Below are 16,201 nucleotides of genomic sequence, written 5' to 3'. Positions count from 1 at the left end.
CTTGGCTCACTTCAATCTCCACCTCCTGGGCTCAAGCGATTCTCCTGCCTCAGCCTCCTGAGTAGCTGGGCCTATAGTCATGTGCCACCATGCCCAGCTAACTTTTTTGCATTTTTAGTAGAGACACGGTTTCACCATGTCAGTCAGGCTGGTGGCGAACTCCTGACTTCAAATGATCCACCTGCCTCGGCCTCCCAAAGTGCTGGGATTACAGTCGTGAGCTATCACGCCTGGCCAAGAACTATTTTTTAATTTCTTTTCCTCTTTCATTCAAGTACAGATTATGCATCTACAGCAAAACAGCAATATTAATATGAATGAAAGAGATATGGTCCCCTCATAGGTGCTAATGACTGACCGTGAGTGTTGATGGTAGCACAGAAAGGAGCAAAAGCCACACGCTTTGGAGTCAGACAGACCTAGCTTTGAATTTCTGCTTTGCAATGTATTAGCCGTCTGACCTTAAAGAGTTCTTTAACTCTTCTGAATCTACTTTTCCTTCTTTGAAAAACATGCCTACAGCATTGTGGTGAGAATTCAGTAGGATTAGGTATCCAAAGCAGTAGTATATGGCCTGAAACATATTTGATGTTGAAACTTACAAGGCAGCATCTTTACACTATTACACATATAATAATGATGAGGGTAATAATAGCAGCAATTGCAGTTCCTTTAGTGTTAACTGCAAGCTAGACCCACTCCACATAAATCTTATTTGATTCTCATAAAACTCATATGAAGCAAGTTTTGTTATTTACATTTTATAGATGAGGGTACAAGTTCAGGAGTTAAATAATTTGATCAAATACACACAAAGGCCTCAAGTCTTTCTGATCCCAAATTCTGTGTCCTTTCTATGACACTACACTGCCACATTTGTTGACTGTTACAAGGATTCCTGGAGGGCATAATGTGTTTTTCTTTTTTAAGTCAAAACACATCAAGTATATTCTGGCTCTCAAACCCTTGAATCTACTCTCCTTGGAAGTAGTTCACCCTCTTCTACACACTCACACCAAACACAAAATAGATAAAATTTATCTCTCACTTCAGAATACTTTCTGACTAGTAAAATAGTTACATTTTTCCTTGCTCTGAGAGAGAGAGAGAGAGAGAGAGAGAGAGAGAGAGAGAGAGAGAGAGAGAGATTTATTTTAGGAAATTGGCTCATTGGCTCATGCAATTTTAGGGCCTGGCATGTCCGAAATACACAGGGCACGTTGGCAGGCTACAAATTTCAGCAGGAGTTAACGTTGCAATCTTTAGCCCAAAGGCAGTCTGGAGGCAACATTCCTTCCTTTTTGGGGGGCTTCAGTCTTTTCTCTTAAAGCCTACAACTGATTGGTTGAAGCCCACTTGCATTATGGAGGGTGATCTCTTTACTCAAAATGTACTGATGTAAACGTAATCCCATCTAATACACACCCTGCAAAGTTGACACATGAAATGAAGCCTCACAGACTCTTATCTATGAGGGAAGTCTTGAGATCATAGAGTGGATGCTGGATGAGTCCTTGGCAGTCAGGAGGTCCAAAAAATGCAAAGAAATGATAATGCACTGGGAGAAGAAAGAAGATATTGACATCGTGAACACAGTAAGAAGCACTTTGTATTAAAATTATTGTTTTTATTTTTATCATATGTTTTAATTGATCTTAGTCACTTTCCCTTTTCAGTCTGTTAGTGTCTTTTTTTTATTCCTAACTCCCCTAACCTAGGTTGATACCAGTCTCTGTACTGTCCAACCAGGGATACTTTTCTGGGTCTCTTTGGCTGCAAATTCATACGAATTCTAAATTCTGAGTGCAGATGTTAGAGTTCCTTCCTACACTCCATAGCACAGATGGAAAAGAGGATGGAGATTGGGGAAAGTACCAGAACTTGAATCAGGTCTTTCCCAACACCAACACTCATCTTAAAGAGCATGGCTATTGTAAGAGAGTTATCTATTGGAAGTTGTGGAATTTACTGATAGGAAAATGTTGGACATATATTGTAAAGTTTCTTTTTTTTTGTCAAAAGTATAAGGCTTTCCTTGCAAAAAAAAAAAAAAATCATTACGTGTAAAAACCCCACAAGGTAAGCTTCAAAATTCCTCCCATAATTCCCCAGAACCCTCAGTCTCTTTGAGCAGAGAAGTCAAGAGGCTTTAGAAAGTGACTGACCCCACCAGCAGTGTAGGAGAGATGACACTCAGTGTCTTGCCTTCAAGAGCTTTTTCTGCCAAGACAATATGGATGTTGATCACCGTTGAGTGATAAACTGTCCCAAATAAGTCTCCCAACTATGGGTAAACTATTCTTCTGGTGGTACCTGAGTAATTGAGGGCAAAACTGCTGCAACACACAGGTGTATTTGACTGATACCAGCAGGCACAACCTGACATTCATTTGGTAGGAAATCTTTTCTGTCTGACCAAGATTATTGCAACTGATGCAACCTGTACTTCTCCTTTAAAGGGGTCAGGTGAGCGAGAAAAATGTGATGCCATTGCTTTCTGTGCATTTTCTGTAAATACAACACAAGTTATCAGGGGACAGAGCTTTCTTTAAAAAAAAATCTTGCAACCCAATATTTAAAAATGCTTCTGGGATACTAAGCCAGAAGATCTACTTTTGACAAAGCTAGAAGTTGAATAAGATCTAGGATATATTTTAATGTGACCAGAGACATGACGGGACCGTGTTGCTAGAGTTTAGATGTCCTTTTAAAAACACATGATCACGACAGGCATTTATTACTTTTGTAACACTTTCATTTTTAAGGAATTATAACATCCAAAACCAAAATAAAACAACCATCTACATTCAACTATTCATTTAGTATCAACTCTGGGTATTTCTTATATGGCTTAGAAGTACTTTAATTTTCCTCTTCTTCCACTAACCATCTCTCTTACTGGCCACTTGGTTGTGGGAGCTTCTTCCCTCACGGGCCACAATGACAATTTAATACCCAATCTCATTGCTTTGAAAGTTGCCACCCATACTCTTCAGGAGAGGAGAAGAATGACTGTGACTTTTGAAAATGTCAGTTGCTTTTTCAGTTTATAAAATAACTATGTATTGTAAATAATTCATAAACTACAAGAAAAAAAATTCTTGACAACCATACCACTCAAAAACCTATTGTTGGTGGCTTTCTTTTATTTTGTTCAATTAGAAATGGGATGATATTATATATACTATTTTTTATGCATATTGCCTGTTTCCATCTTCATGTGTTATGAACATTTCCTTATGTCATTAACTATTCCTGATAGTTCTTGATAACTAATCATATTCCTGATAACATGATTTTTAAAGGCTGCATGGAACTCAGTCTCAGGTCGAGATGGTTTATAAATCCCCTGGTGGACTTTTCATTCCTTTTGTAAATTGCTATTATAAATAGTATTTTGGTGAATATATATCTAATCATTTTTGCATACATATCTGTTTCTGCAAGATACAGAAAAATTTTCACTGTTTTGCACCCCTACCAGCAAAATATAAAAATATCTGTTTCTTCACATATTTATCATCATGAGTTATAATTATTTCTGTTTTTTTTTAAGAATCTTGCCAATTTGAGAGGAAAAAATGGTTGGTTGTGACAAAATTTCTCATGAAATAAACAGAGGAGGAGTTGTAATCTTTCCCCACCCCAAAAGAAATGAACACATTTGTGCAAATGCTCCCAGATTTTTGCCTATGTCTATACAAACATTATGTATAGATAAATATATATTTTTAACAAAAATAGTATTATAATTATATTCGAATTCTATTCTGCAACTTGCTAGGGTTTTTCAGTTAACACAAAATTGTGGAAATTTTTCATCATCAATTCATTTTCTCCCTTATTCTTTTGAATAGCTACAGAGTAGTTCATTGTATCATAATACACAAAAATATACATGGTCTTATCATTGACAAGAATTCTTTACTTTGCTAGGGCAAACTAAGATTTACAGTAGTATCAGGTTGGTGTAAATGAAATTAAGAACCGAGAGATTAGGAGTGAGGGGAATGAAGATTCTTGTACATGTTTTCTAGTATCAGTGGTGGATCTGTTCTAATCCATCCAAACCTGCTCCATCCATAACCTACAACAGTCATCTTGCAAATGCAAGATGCACTGAGCTCCGTACAGACTGAACGAGGTCCTTTGTTGTGTTTGAACCTACAGTGTAGGTTGTGAAGATGTCATCCACCATCTTCACAAATCTGGTCCACCTGTTCAGCTACCTGGCTCTCATCTTCAATGAAAGAAATATGCAAATGTCTAGAAATAATCACCTTTCACTTTTTCCTTACTGAGGTATCTCTATTTTTATTCAACATTTTTGCCAGTTGAAAAAAGACATGCCAAAAAAATTTCTATATATTTGTAAACCCTCACAATTTTGTGTCTGTAAATCACTAAATACCAGGAAAATAGGAGAAGTTCTTCTGTGGAGTTAACATGAAGTCTGCTCTAGAATTCTTGGGTCAATTTTAGTGTATTCATTTAATAGACATTCCCTGGGCTTCTATTATGGTTCAGGCACTGTGCCAAGTGCAGGGAATCCATGGCGGTGAAAGACCTGACGCCTGCCCTCTCGGAACTTGTATCCTAAGTGGCAGTCAAGCAATAGACAAATTGATAAAGTGGAGTCAAGGTTTACAGTGGAAAATTGGCCTCTGTTCCAAGCACTGTGATATTTGCTGAGGCTGTTGTGAACAGGACTGTCTTTAGCAGGAATCCACTAGTGAGGAGTATAAGGAATCCAAAACGTGGGACAGTGTGTCATTGTTGAACCAATAAAGCCCAACGTTGCATGGGGGTGAGGGGCCTTTGGACAACATTTTATGTCATTGTTGATGATCCAGGTAGACCAATTGGACAAAACAGCTCCTCGTATCACACTCTTGCATTCCCCTTCTCAAGTGGGGCTCCTGAAAAATGGCTGCTACGGGATTTACATCACTTCCCGCGTGTTGAAGGCATCAGACCCTGACACTGAGGACGATCAGATCATCTTTAAAATTCTACAAGGCCCAAAACATGGACATCTGGAGAACACAACAACAGGTACTGGCCTCCTTAATCCTTACAATTGCCATTTTAAAATACCCAGTGGCTGGCAGGGCTAGAGAGTAATTTAATTAAGTGCAGGCCCATTTGGTAAACACTCCCCAGGGCTTACTGATAGATGCAGTTTATAAATCAATATTGCTCCTAAAGAGGGTTTGAAGCTGAGCCTTCCTAAATTTATCCTGACTGGAAGAACCAAATACTGATATACAACTGTTTATTTATATTTTTTTTCTCAACAGCTGATTATAATATATTCAAAGGAACATAATATCAGGACCAAATTTCCTATTTGTGACTAATTTTTTATTCTGTCATGAATTCTAAATGACTCTAAATGATGTCAGATCTTTTTTTAAAAGTTCTTGGTTTTTTTCCTAATGGATTCTCTGGATTGTATATTATTTCTACTTTATGAGCACAATGATCATAATACATCATTAAACAGGATGGCACCAAGTTACAGATTTTTATTACTGTATCTTTCTACTCTCCTTCTCTTTATTTTCATTTTTTTAAGGCAAATATTTCTGAAGCAGTCAACTTAATGCCTAATTTAAGCTCGCTGCATTTGAGTTTTAAGATAGTTACAGTAATGTTAATTTCTTGTTTTAAAATGTACTTTAGCTGTTTTTTAAAGCTGTGTTTAAAATAAAATAGCCATACAATTTTATTAGCTTTTATTTAATGTTTTGTTTGATTACCCATGATATTCATTTATTTCTTTTTTTAGGTGAATTTATCCATGAGAAATTTAGCCAAAAGGACTTAAACAGTAAGACTATTCTTTACATCATAAACCCATCTTTGGAAGTAAATTCAGATACCGTGGAATTTCAAATCATGGACCCCACAGGGAACTCGGCCACTCCTCAAATGTAAATTCTCTTGCTTATTCAGTAGTCCTATATGTTACATCCATAATGTATCTGAATATTAGGAAAGTGAAATGTTCTTTTTAAAACAGAACCCAAGAAGATAAATTAATAGACCATTTCACAAGCTCATGGAATTTATTTTGGAGAATGAATTTTCTTTTTATTACTGCTTGAAAATAGGAAAGCCAGTAGCTTTACAGAGTACAGAAACATTAAAAAGCTAAGTTGACGTTCATATTATGCATGTCAAGGTACACACTTTTATACACAGGGAGGGTTCTGTCTTACCAATTCACTAGCATCCAACACTGAGTTTGCAGGTTCATGTAGCAATTGTGCAGCAAGAGGTCACTCTAGGACCGTGTTAGCAACTATAGCCTTCTAAAATATCTGCAGTCGGGGAAATGAGGTAGTCAAGAAGAGTTAGCCAAACATCTTCTCTTTCTCTTATGAAGAAAATTACAATTACTTGACAGTATGTTTATAAGGTGATAAACTTATCCCATGTAAGACAAATATAATGTAAAGAGGAAACTAGACTTTGGAAGGTATATAAAGGGTATGACCCTCAAAATAGCAAGAGTAACAAATCTTCAAAATTAACGAGATTAACAGACCACAGCAATTTCACTGACTGGGTCCCTACTCTAGACTTTTCTTGAATGTAGACCTTGAATATCTTACCAGCTAACAGATAGTCATAGAAAGGTCGGTCAGAGTCCAGTTATTCTGGTACTGTGCTGTTTTTTGTTTGTTTGTTTGTTCATTTTGTTTGTTTGTTTTTGATACCCTCCCAGAAACCCCAAAGAAAAGTTGTTCACTTATCCTTGTTTTAGTAGTCACCATATCCTAGTCATACTAAGCATCATAAGTGATACAGCTCTGTGCTCTGTTATACTCCTTTTATGATGGAGTATAGATTAAGAAAAGAAAGCTGAGAAACTCCTCTGCAGTCTTCAGAATTCTTGCATTTTCTTTTGGATCCTGAATTGTAGTTCTAAAATCTGACCAGCAGAGGTCACAGTAGTCATTGTCAGAAAAAAGCTAGCCTCCTTTTCTTAGCAAAACACATTCCCAGCGTCCCACTCCGTTGCCTCGATAAAATGCAGAGCCTGGCCCAGATTTATTAACTCCACAGACTTTTATCGAGTGGCTACTATATGCCAGGTGCACAGTACTAGGAGCTGGGGAATAGGTTAGAGCAAAGTAGACCTGGCCCGTGATATTAAAATGTAATCTCGAGATTACAAAATGTAAAACATATGACCTCCACCCATTAAACTGTCTTTGCCTAAGACAAATAATTCCCAGGATCACAATCTTTATGGGAAAATATGTCAAGTACTTGCAATGTCAGACAAATATCTTCCAATTCTCAAGAAAATGTAAAAAAAAAAAAAAAAAACCTGCTCCAAAAATGTTAATACGTGGACTTCACTTTTTTTTTTTAACATTTTAAAAATAATTCAAGTAAGAAAACATAGGAATGTTGATCAGACTTGCTACTGACCTAATGCTCACCTCTTGTCCTCCATGTGTGAGCGCAGTGTAGCTGACAGAGGATTTTCTTCCCCCAGTAATGATGCTAGGCTGATACTGCTTCACCCATAGCCCCTTTCAATCTTTGTCACTATCAAGGACATTGCTTTTGGAAGATGATTTATATTTTTAAATATACTCTCAAATTCATATGAGAATTACAGCAAAATTTGCTTAATTTAATTATAACCTTAAATGAGGCCATTTAAATATCCTCCTGCTTTTGTTGGCTATTAACTTTCATGTGTCTGTGCTGGAGATGTTTCCAGTTCAACTTGACGTAATTTGTTCATTTGTTCATGACTGAACAAAATGCTGTGGCATATGCCTACCAAGGGGTAATATAGAGAGAAGTTTTATTTGGTTCTGACATATATTAGGCTATTTTCTTTATAAGCGATGGGGGGGTAAAATTACTCAGCATTTATCATCATCATTTTTGAACGGTATAGTTGTCCTCAACCCCATTTGTAAGCAGATGTTATTGGAACTAGGTGCACAATTTTCCAGTAAAAAGCAAGGTTATGAATAGTGGTTCATCTTCCCAAGACAGCCAGGCAGAACGTAGTTACAGGTACAATATAAATTACAGCCATTTGCAATATAATTGGTGTTTGCTCTATTTCATTGCTATTCATTTAATCATCAGAACCACCTATGAGTCAGGTACCATCATAATCTGAAATTTACAGATGAGAAAACTGAGGACAGAGCTAGAAAGTGACTTTTCTAAGTGGAAATGCAGCTTTAGAGTGCATGATTTTTCTCAGCACACTGAAGAACTTCTTGCCCATTTTAAGGACTGTGCTAATCTGGCCTGAAGGGAATGGAACACCAGACTTGTCTTCTTCTTTCTCTTCAGACATTGGCCACCCAAGCAAGAAAGAAGGAATACTTACTCATATAGGACCTTAAAGTTCAGTGGGATTTTTTAACATGTACATTATAGATCTCTATATTAGTGTGCACTTCGTATCTAACACACTAGAATTTATACTATAGATAATAAACCACCGAACTTGGAGCTAGAGGACAAGGTTTGAGCTTTGGCTCTGCCCTTCATCTAGTAACTGTTCAAGCCTTAGTTATCTCTTCTGTAAAATGGGAGCGATACTACAATTTGTTTAGAAAAACAAAAGAAATGTGTAACGTATATGAAAGCATCTTGTGTATTTAAACTCCTTAACAAATGCAACTTGTGGTGATTACTGTTGTAGTTAATTCATGTAGGTACAATAATTGACTGAAGAAGTATCCCGGAAACATTTGGTGGATTAGAAAGCCTGCCTCTAATTAGAAATTGATCCTGGGATGAATCACAAAGTGAACAGTCAATATGCATATTAATCAATGAGCTAAACGCTGTGGAACTTTGTGGTGTTCTTTGGCTTAGACAGGATTAATAGATTCATATTCCCCATATTTGAAGGGGTGAAACCTCTGTGATAAAGCTCAAGGGACTGCGGGGTGCCATCTGGAACAGAAATGGACCTGTTTTAGAGCACGGGAAGGACCCATGTTCAGTGGAAAATTCAGAATCTTGACTGTTGGTCAGTTTTGGCTATTGCAGGATTCCTGTGGAGTCCTGAAGGATGAATAGATGCTCCACTCTAAAAAGCATTAGGAAATGCTTGTTTCGTGAGATTCATCAAGTTACTGCCAGCTAGCTAGCTTGCGTGCTTGTTTAACTGCATCACATCCTGGAATCATCGAGATGTGCGTGTGGATTGGGAATCTCTCAGAAATGAAGCCTACGCAGCAAACCTCAACCCAACTGGGCTATAGAATCACCTCTCTCTACCTGCCACCCCACACACAGGCAGAATAGCTCAGGGAACCAATTTTTCATGGAATGCATCTGGGAGTCACTTTATTGTAAATAGAAATTATTTTATAATGCTGATATCCTTGGAAATTTGCGTAAAGATTTAGATTTAGCTAAGTGCCTACATTTCAGGCACTGTGCTAAGTGTTTTCATGAGTTGTCTAATTTTATCTGCAAAACACAATCCTCTGAGGATAAGGAAATAAAGCTCAAGGCTTTTAAGTAATTATCCTGAAGTCACTGGAGAGTGAACCCTGACCTCCAGACCTAAGTGAGTGCGCATCTTATTGCCTCACCCCCTGGCTGCACCCCTTGACAAGCTTGTGCCTGTTTTCTAGTCCAAGTTGAATCTCCAAGATGATCCGCAGAAGCCCCAAACTAAGTTACACAGGACCCACATCATTCATGAAAAGCACTTTTGTGGACCACAGAATGTGGCCAACTTCTGACCAAAGTTGTTTTCCTAATACAGCTTCTACGTGGACCTCTTTCTTGTGCCCACTGGAGAAAAGTGAACTTCAAAAGCAATGTTGAATGCAGAAGTCTTTGATAATTCAGTGACTGTTTCTCCGGTTCTGCACTCTGATTCTTCACCTCCCTCTGGCAACTCACATTCTAACTGTTCTGTTGTCCATTTTTGGCTTTAAAAGAGAAGGGACAGAAGACTAAAAGGAATTTCCATCAGGCAAACGTTGCAATGTTTAGCAGCTTTTATGAAACACCTGATAGGGGAAGGTGTTTGGCTAGCTAATACCTGCACATTACCTGCAAGCCAGGAGTTAAGGTTTTTGTCTTCAGACTAGATCTTAGGAAAGCACAGAGGAAGGGAAGGAAAATAGCATTTATTGGGCACCCACTGTGTACAGGTGCTTTATACATACTAACTAATTTTAATTTTAATCATTTTACATGAGTGTAATTCTCCTCATTTTTAAGATAATGAAAACCGAGGCCCAGAGAGACTGAGTAACTGACCGTAATCACACACTAAATCACATACTAATCAGTGGTTACAAGGTGTGCTTGATTCTAAAGCACTTGTTTTGGGTGCACACTATGCTGCCTCTTGGCTAAACACTGTTTCCCCATTATCAAGAGAAAAAGAGAAAAATGAAAACACAGGTGTTCATAGCATTCGATTACGGAGTTTAATAGCATCATCTATGAATTGAGAAGTCTTAGATTGGATACTTGAAAAAATATTTTTTTAACATTTTCAGGAATTCTTGTCACATGCTACTTGATTATAAATGAAGATATAGTTATAAGGATAGTAATTTAATCACAATTTTAGCTTCTGTAAACCTTTTGCTGAGAAGCTCAAAATACTTAATGAGAATTCATGAAGGTTCACTTAACCCCTTTGAAGTACAGACTTATCATTATTGCATTTTGTAATAATGACATTATTATAGGAAGAAAGGAAACTGAGGCATAGACAGGCTAAATATCTTTTTCACAGACTCTTGTTAACCTGGATTAATGCCCCAATTCCTAAACTGGTGATTTAACTCCAGGTATTTCTTTCAGCTTCTTGTTTCATCATAAATGAATCAAGTAGCTAGAAAATAAAATATCAGAAAGAACATATTTATTACTCCAGGACCGGGTGTCTCAACATTGGCACTATAGGCATTTTGAAACAGACCATTCGGTGTCACAGGGGAGTCTCCTGAGCACTGCAGAACATTCAGCAGCACCCCAGGCCTCTCTCAGCTGAAGGCCAGCACCATCCTCTTCCCAGTTGTGGCAACGAATACCATCTCCAGAAAATGCCAAATGTTAAGAATTACACGCATGCCTTAGAAAATAGCATACATATGTTTTAAGAAATTATGAATTATGTTAGAATGCTCATTTATCAATGCCATCTTTCTCTCTATGCTAATAAAGCCTAACAATAGTCAAAGAATCCAGAATAAGTCAGGGCTAGAGAAAACATGTGAGGATCATCTAGCCTAGCAATTTTTTCCAAGTGTGTGACAGATGATGTTAGTAAGGTTGGGGAGAAAAATATTTTCGATGGTTGTATTAGTCTGCTTTCACACTGCTAATAAAGACATACCTGAGACTGGGTAATTTATAAAGAAAAAGAGGTTTAATGAACTCATAGTTTCAAATAGTTGGGGAGGACTCACAAGCATGGCAGAAGGCAAAAGGCAAGTCTTACATGGTGGCAGGCAAGAGAGAATGAGAGCCAAGTGAAAAGGGAAACCCCTCGTAAAGTCATCAGATCTCGTGAGACTTATTCACTACCACAAGAACAGTATGGTGGAAACCACCCCCATGATTCAGTTATCTCCCACCAGGTCCCTCCCACAACATGTGGGAATTATGGGAGCTGCAATTCAAGATGAGCTACAATTCAACATGTGGGGATACAGCCAAACCATATCAATGGTCAACTTAGCTCAGGAGACAGTGGGATAAACAAGATTCATTCATTCAGTTAACAGATATTTAATGAGCACTCACCATGTTTTAGATGCTCTACAAGACACCTGGGTTATCACAATGAACCAAAGACCTGTGCTTCCTTGGAGCATACATAGGATCTAAATCAATGTGATAGCATGCTTGCTGTACGTGGTACATGCTCTGGAAAAATGAAAAACTTGACCAGGAGCAGGGGGATCAGCAAGTGCTGTGTTTGGGAAAGACATTGTGATTTTAAATTGGGTGTTTAAACAACATTTCCTTTACCTGACTGCTTAGAGCTGGTGAGTGACAGAGGGACCTGAAGCCTCACAAGTTCAAATCCAATTTTATTTCCACTGCTCCATGCCATGTCTTCCACTTACAACAGTGGTTTTCAGGGATCCGAATTTATCTTCACATTGAACCAGCTTTTGCTTTCTTTTTTTTGAGATGGAGTCTTGCTCTGCCGCCCAGGCTGGAGTGCAGTGGCATGATCTCGGCTCACTGCAACCTCTGTCTCCAGGTGAACCAGCTTTTTCTATTGTGATGAACACATTAAAACCGCATATGGAAGAAGTTCTCAAGTGGGGGTGACTTTTCTCCCAAGGAGCATTTGTCAAGGTCCCGAAACAGTTTTGGCTGTCGTGACTGGAGGGAAGTGGTGCTCCTACATCTAATGCGAGGAGGACAGAGGTGCTGCTAAACATCATTCCCACACAGGACAGCCTCCCGCAACAAAGAATTGTCTGGTCCAAAATGGGTGGGAAAGCCTGACTTAGAGGCTTAGGGAGTTTTCCCCTCCTGCTAAATGACTTGAAGCGATTGCCACATGGGTTACACATAAAATGTGTCCATGGCATACAGTTCTGACTGTAAAATGAGCGTCACTCAATGGTGACAGGAAACTGGAAGCACTGTTAAAATGGGAAGATATGAACCAATCCTTATCTACATGACACCTACACATCTAGAACTTTACGAATTTCTCTCATGGGCTCCTGGATCTGGACATTTACATGATGCCAGGCATATAGCTGTGTGGCTTCTTGCAGGCAAAATTCCCAAGTGATTGACTACATCTCTTATTTTTCTTCCAGGTGTTTGTGTACAGTTTAAGCAATCACAGTCTCTGCGTAGAAAGATCTTCTCAAATATACTACTGCAAAAAGCAAAAAAAAAAAAAAAATCACATTCAAAACATATATTGTACATATTCTGTGGGTATGCAGGTCCTTTGCTATTTAGATATTTTTCTCAAAAATATATAGCCTGGCTTAAATTTCACGGCTTTTCAATAGCTCTTTATTATTTGTAGCGAATAATTTTAAGAAAATAAAATAGAGCATTGTGTAATGACCACCTTGACCTATAAACGTTATGCAGCATTCAAATGGTGCATCAGGGAAATGCATGCACATTCCCAAACAGTAAGACCCTTTATACCTTGAAGCTGAACAGCCCTCTGAATGGTTCCCTTCTGAATTTAGATCAGAAATCAAATTGCATTTAGCTTTTCGCCTTGAGGTCACCAGGATCTACAGAATGACATTGATGGATTTTTACTTGTCATGGTTAGCATTAGCAATGGATGAATTCTCAGAAGAATTGGACATTGAAACTCATTTGAACCCTACTGATGGCTGAAATCCATGCAAATGTATTTGTTTCATTCTTTCCCACTGTCCTCCTTTCCTTCCCATTTCATCTTTCTCTCTTTTCCCCTAATCCATCTTGCTGACTTTTTTTTTCTTTCTCATTCAACTGGATCCTTTTGGGATTCTTTGCAACATATTTCTATTGGCATTTATGATATCCTTGTTGTTTGTTATCTTGTAATTCTTTAGGCACACACTAATCCCTCCTATCTGTGGGAGATATGTTCTAAGACCTCCAGCAGATGTCTAAAGTGCAAATAGTATTGAACCCTATGTACACTGTGCTTTTTCCTGTACTGCACATACGTTGCTAGGATAAAGTTTAATGTACAAGCTAGGCACAGTAAGAGATTAATAACTAATAAAATAGAACAACTATCATGGGATGCCAGCATCACTACTCTTGCACTTTGGGGCCATGATTATGTAAAATTAGAGTGACTTGAACACAAGCACTGTGACACTGTGGCTGGCAGTCAATCTGATAACCAAGCCAGCTACAGAGTGACTAATGGGCAGGTAGCATCTACTGTGTGGATGTGCTGGACAAAGGGATGATTCTTGCCCCAAGTGGAACAGCAGGGGATGATGTGAGATTTCATCACACTACTCAGAACAGCATGATGTTTAAAAGTTATGAATTATTTGTTTCTGGGATTTTTCACTTAATATTTTCAGATCACGGTTGACCACAAGTAACTGAAACCTTCAGAAAGCAAATTGTGAAAAAGAGGGATTACCGTAGTCATTTATTTCTGTTTCTTGATCTGTTTCATGCGAGATTTAAATTCAGTTGCATCAGAGACCCATAAAGTTTCCAATTTTTTTAATACAAGGATCCTCTTTTCTTGTTTAAAATTCTATTAATATGAAGTAGCAATAAACTCAAACAATAAATTTTAAATCTGACTGAATAAACAGGTATGTTTATATAGATTCATGAGCCCCTGTAATAATTCCATGCTCTTACCCTACCCTTGCCCCCTAGCCCATGATGCTCAGCTATGAACCTACACTGTTGAGTTTATCTGGCTCGTGAGCTTAATCCATAGAACGTGATTATGACACATGATCAGTGTGGACACAGTGGTTATTTGAAGACAAACTTCCTCCCTAATATGAATGGCCCCAGGAAAGCCTGGAGAGTGTGTGAAATATGTGAACACATGTTCCATATGGTGGCACCCAGAATTTCTAGTTCCACAAAAAAAGAAAGAAATTATAATAAATAAACTTAAAAGTAAAGAGGAAAGAGTCTAAATCTGACTAGAGGTTTGGGAAGTACAAGTAAGGCAACCACTAAGGATTTTGTAAATCTAGAATAAAAGGCAACTGAATAAAAAACAATGGAGGTGCAGTTAACAATCGTAGTGAAGGTTGCTTGTGTCTTTTATCCTGCTCTATAGTAAGGTTACAGATGGCAAAAAAAAGGCAAGACCTCAAAAAGGAAAATGTTTCTGGGTAAAGATAAAACCGTATTGCTCTGCTTGAGCTCACAAAAGAGTCGCAAAGAACTTCAGTTGGGGAGAGAAATGGTAGAGGTTGGATGGAAGATTTGGCATTAGATTTATGCTTGAATTTCATCTCTGCTATTAGCTTTGTCATGACTTTTTGCCTTTAAGTTAGTTACTTAACCTCTCTGAAGCTTGTTTGTCTGTTTGTTTTTGAAAAAAAATGTTCCTCTCTAGATGAAGATTAAAGAAGACAGTTTCCACCAAATGTTGGACTCACTAAATATATTGTGGAAAGAAAGACTATCCTCTATTTCTCAGGTTTATTTAGTTATATAGTTGCATCCAAGCCTCATACCAGTAGAGTCCTTTTTTTATGCACAGAAAGAGAAACAAATAACACTTATGAAACACATGTACATTTTAATTCCCAAGCACATCCTCAAAAATATTTTGTTATTAAACTGAACCCAAGTTCAGAGAATATCTCTGTCTGGAATTGTTCTTGTTGTACCAATTATCCTTATCTAAATGATAAGATAGAAGACTTCCTATCAGTGTCTTTTCCAAAAAGGAATGTCTCCTTGAACTTAACAACTGCTGGTTCCTTTCCCTTCAAAACATTCACGATTGAGTCCCCTTTTAGTTGTAAATATCTGGGAGACATTCAGCAGCCTTTTAACCTTAGATTCTTCATTTGTGAAATGGAATTCTAATCCTTGCTCTGTCTACCTTACAGGGTTGTTGTAAGGATCAAATGAGATAATGTTAGTAGACATTCTTTGTGAACTAAAATGTGTCAAATAAGTCTTAAGGAATTTCCATCACTGGTGTAGGTTGATCAACCACGTTTTTCCACTAGTCCGCTCAGCAGAGAATCCCTATAGGCATATACTATGCATTCTCATGATTTCTCTTTTCCTTTCACACACAGTTTGGAACTGAAGTGGTCTCATATTGAATGGTCACAGACCGAATATGAAGTCTGTGAGAATGTGGGTTTGTTGCCCTTGGAAATTATCAGAAGGGGATATTCCATGGACTCGGCCTTTGTGGGTATAAAGGTAATGACTCTGAAATGTAAATTATCAAGCTAAAACTTATGTTGTTCTTTGGTGTCTTTCATTATATTTTTTTTAGAAAAATTCAGAGTGACCAAGGAAATTTCAAATTGCAGGGAGATCCCACTATTCTGAGGATTCTAAGCACAAAACCTCCTTGGCCCTCCATCCATCATCTAAGTTCATAAACTCTGAGATATGATTTTTTAGTGTACGTGTTGCTGAAGCTAGCACAAGAGATATTATTATTATTATTGTTATTTTGAGACAAAGTCTCGCTCTTGTCGCCCAGGCTGGAGTGCAATGGCACAATCTC

The 16,201-nt window shown here is 37.8% G+C and overlaps 1 protein-coding gene across 27 annotated transcripts in view; it reads left to right on the top strand.

The window, feature by feature from the left end:
- FREM1 (FRAS1 related extracellular matrix 1) overlaps positions 1-16,201 on the top strand; it is a 173,844-nt gene that overhangs the window by 135,336 nt on the left and 22,307 nt on the right. For 25 of the 27 annotated variants that reach the window (NR_163239.2, NM_144966.7, XM_047422844.1 and 22 more), the window contains 3 exons: positions 4,854-5,055; positions 5,792-5,936; positions 15,759-15,888. The exons of 1 other annotated variant lie outside the window; for it this stretch is intronic. Coding sequence is in view for 24 of the 26 variants with exons in the window: in NM_144966.7 (NP_659403.4) it covers positions 4,854-5,055; positions 5,792-5,936; positions 15,759-15,888 (477 nt within the window). In the remaining 2 variants the exon portion in view is untranslated. The remainder of the gene's footprint in view (positions 1-4,853; positions 5,056-5,791; positions 5,937-15,758; positions 15,889-16,201) is intronic. One more of the 27 variants, NR_163242.2, reaches the window with a different exon arrangement.

The sequence above is a fragment of the Homo sapiens genome, chromosome 9 (assembly GCF_000001405.40).
Source record: "Homo sapiens chromosome 9, GRCh38.p14 Primary Assembly".
NCBI lineage: Eukaryota > Metazoa > Chordata > Mammalia > Primates > Hominidae > Homo > Homo sapiens.
This window is presented reverse-complemented; position numbering and strand designations above follow the sequence as displayed.